Source organism: Homo sapiens, chromosome 14 (genome assembly GCF_000001405.40).
Source record: "Homo sapiens chromosome 14, GRCh38.p14 Primary Assembly".
Taxonomy (NCBI): Eukaryota; Metazoa; Chordata; class Mammalia; order Primates; family Hominidae; genus Homo; species Homo sapiens.
Genome location: NC_000014.9, coordinates 18600647 through 18604579, shown reverse-complemented (window position 1 = coordinate 18604579; position 3933 = coordinate 18600647). Strand labels below are relative to the sequence as shown.

General features: G+C 35.1%; 1 protein-coding gene across 1 annotated transcript; it reads right to left on the bottom strand.

Annotated features, from left to right (window-relative positions):
* Window positions 1-2482: 2482 nt before the first annotated feature.
* OR11H12 (olfactory receptor family 11 subfamily H member 12) lies at window positions 2483-3463 on the bottom strand. The gene has a single exon (NM_001013354.1). It carries the CDS (start codon window positions 3461-3463, stop codon window positions 2483-2485), a length of 981 nt encoding a protein of 326 aa, NP_001013372.1.
* Between the last annotated feature and the right edge of the window lie 470 nt (window positions 3464-3933).

Below are 3933 nucleotides of genomic sequence, written 5' to 3'. Positions count from 1 at the left end.
CCTGAGATCAGACGCCATCTCCAACTAGGCAAGTTACCTTTTCTGCCTGTTTCACTCTTCAAAAATTAGAGATACAATAATACCGACCTGATTTCTTTGGGTTTCATAAGTAGGAAATAAAATAATACATAGAAAAGACTTGGAATATTGCCTGACACAAAATAGTTGCCTTAAAACGTTAATTATTATTATTTTCAATGTTGCCAAGAGAACAAACCCTGTGTGGTGAATTTGCATATGTAAACCTGTTAAACTAATACACAGTCTTTCTTTTCTCATAATATTGTCGCACTTGCACCTTATGTCCTAAGTTTTCTAGTAATCTTGAATGTACATAATGTTTGGTTGTACAAATAAATTTTCCTTTGTGAGGGAATTAGTTGTAATTGAGGGTAGAGTCAAAGTTTGTTCAGCTTAGTGAGCATTTAAAGGGAGCTAATAAACACCATGACTTGTATTTGAAAGTAGAAAATACCGACTTTCAATTGTCATTTCCCCCAAGGAAACCATTAACCAGCACAATTATTTTTAAATATCAACCTGAAATAACACTGTATTTTTATTGCTATTCTTTCTCTCTCCTTCTCTCTCTTTGGGATACAGTTTGGCTTTGAAAAAATATGGTATATATGCAGTGTTTGGTCAAATAATTTAGCACTATGGAAAAGGTTGTGAACCAGTCATAGTATTTGAGGTTGTAAGAAGAAACCTTTGCAAAGGTAGTGGCTGCACAAATGTATTAACTTAGTAATACAAAGTAGGGAGTTCTGAAACTGTGGTGGAAATATTGCCTGCCTTGACTACCTGTTCTTTTTGAGTCCGTTTGCTGATCAGAACTCAGGTAACTTAAAAGTCATGCACCCTGGAAAGGAGTAAAGAAAGAGGAAAGATCCTCAGCGGCTATACAAGTGAGAGATATGGCAGAGTTCTAATAAGATTGAGTAAAAGCTTGATACTGTCTTACATGAAAGGAGCAAATAATTGTTCTACCTGGAATGTCCGGGCCCCAATTCACAAATGCATTCTTACCTTTTGAACTGAATAATGATCTCTTTCCCGATAAACTGTTCTAAGACAAAAAATCTGAAAGGAAAATTGTTGCACACACATCATATTCTTATATTCTGTATTTTCTGGGACAGTCTGTTTCAGATTAGATGATGAGTCCTAATTTAGGTTTGCAAAATATTATCAAGGCAAATCTTTATGAAGATTTTATTGAGATATTATTTTATAACAAAAAAATGGGATAACTGTAATGTTCAACAAAAAGATTGGTGGTAGAAGGAAGGAAGATGTTGGAGTGTTCAGTAACCTTACCCCAGAATGCTGCAGTACAAATTCTGTGAGAAGTCATTCTTGTGTAGTAGAGGCATTCATTTTTCTCCTAATATCCCTTCTGAAAATTCCCTTTTACTAGTCAGCTCTTAGCTTCTTGGAAGGAAGGCCCTTCGTCTAGGACAATGTTCATCTCACCACATAAAAATTCACAATTCATGGCACGTTAGTTCAATAAAATATTATGCTTTCTATGAATGATAATTATAAAAACTTGCTATAAATGGAAGCGAGTTTAACATTAAATCACATGAAACAGACATATTAACAAAAATAGATACATTAGAGCAATTGAATTATACATGCTTTTTTCCTTCAAAAATTTTCCTTCATGTTATTTTCACATTCTTTTAGCAGCAAATGACAATGAACTGCCATTGATTTTATTTTATTTTTTGAACTTAAGTAGTGTATCCACAAGTACACCATTGCCCTGTCCAATCTTTAGGGGAGATATTCTATTATCTAAAACTCGGTAAATTGACCTATCATGTTGTTGGTGATATCTTATTTAGGTAAAAATATTAGGTATTTAGAACAATGCATTTCTGAATATTTTGACTGATATTATTATAGATGGATTTAGAATCTGCCCTTTAGGGGTCCAGAAGGAGGTAATGTTTGGATATCATTAGGCTAGAATATTTTATTGTCCTACAAAAATGTTGATAAATTGCTTATAAGGGCTTATGTATTAGTAATGACCATGTCACCAAAATAATAAACCCAAATATGATAAGAATCACAATCAGAAAATATATTTTTTCTTCTTTTATTTACAACCAACCAAACAAAATAACATAGCTATAATTTTGTCAATCTCAGAACAATAAATTTAAGTAAAATAGAACATAAAGAATTTTTATCACAGATGAATCAGATGGAAACTATCCAGAAAACACCCAAATATGTGTATTCCTCAGTTAATACTCAGTCTAGGTGCCAAAGGGAAACCACACGCTTCCATTTATCTATATGATTTGGCAACTTTAATTTGTAAGGGGTCCAACAGGTGTTTAATTTCATAGGCTGATATAGTCAATATCACTAGGTCCATATTTTTTAGATTTAAATAACTATATAATTCTGATTTCTCTTTGTTAGACTGTACTGATCTGATCATGGAGGAATAATCTAATATGCCTTAGATTATGTTGGAACTTCCCAGAACTTTCCTCAGGGCTGCCTTTATCTCCTTATTCTGGAGGCTATAGATAAGGGGATTGAAGAGTGGGGTCACCATAGCATAGAACAAAGTTTCAATTTTCTGCATCCCTGTAGAATGTCCGAGTCCTGGGCTCACATACATGACCATAAGAGAGCTATAGCACAGTGATACCACAGCCAAATGAGACCCACAGGTAGAGAAGGCCTTATGTCTCCCAGTGCTTGAAGGCATACCCAACACAGCTTTCAGGACAAGAGTATAGGATCCAATAATAAAGAGGAAGTTACCAAAAATAACTAATGAGCTTAGAGTGTAGCAAAACAGTTGGATTCTTGGGGCAGAAACACAATCCAATGCAAATCGTGGCCCTGGGTCACACACAACATGGTCAATAATGTTTGGGCCACAGAAGGGCATCTGAGAGATGAGAACAATGGGGATCAGGAACCACAGAAATCCACAAACCCAGCACAGTATGACCAGTTTGGCACAGAGATGCCCAGTCATGATATTAGGATAGAGCAAGGGACGGCAGATAGCAAGGTACTGATCAAAGGCCATCACAGTCAAAAGCAAGCATTCTGATGTACCCAAAGAGAAGAAGAAATAAAACTGGAGAAAACATCCAGCAAAGGAGATGTTTTTTTTCTCTGAAAGGAAGTTGACCAACATCTTGGGAACTGTAGAAGAGACATACCATATCTCTAAAAAGGAGAAATTTCCCAGGAACATGTACATGGGAGTGTGAAGTCGCCAGTCACACCACAGGACAAAAGCAATGGCTCCATTCCCTGTTATAGTCAGTGCATATGTTGTAGTAAAGAGTGAGAAGAGGAAGATCTGAATTGTCCACTCACAAGTGAAACCTTGGAGTATAAATTCATTTACAAAAGCAAAGCTGGAATTTGGCTCAGAGACATTCATTAGGCCAGTGACCTGCAAGGTCAAGGGACACATTATCAGTCAGGACTCTTTTATAAAATGTGTTCCTTTTTTAAGAATGAAGAGAAGATAATGAACATGAAGTCATTTTTCAAAAGAATAATTAGGAAGAGAATGTAGTTTACTTTTTCTCGGCTATACAGTATATGAGTTTTGGGCTTCGTAGGTAGCTGATTGAACAAAAACAAACTTCTGCCATCTTCTAAATCTCTCCTTAATATGCAATCGTGATAGAACTAGGTAAAGTTAAATTCCTTTTGTAAGGTCATTATTTTGAGACAGAAATGATTGAATATAGTTTCTGGATAGCATACAACTCAAAGTTAGTACTTTGAGAAGGCACAAATGTGTTAGTTTCTTACTGCAAACCCAACTTATGGTGCAATAGACTCAGTAAAGAAAGTTTTGACCATTTACATTTCAGCTAAACATATTACTTAACATTATTTACATATGCAAAAGAAATGCACATATTTTAAAATAAA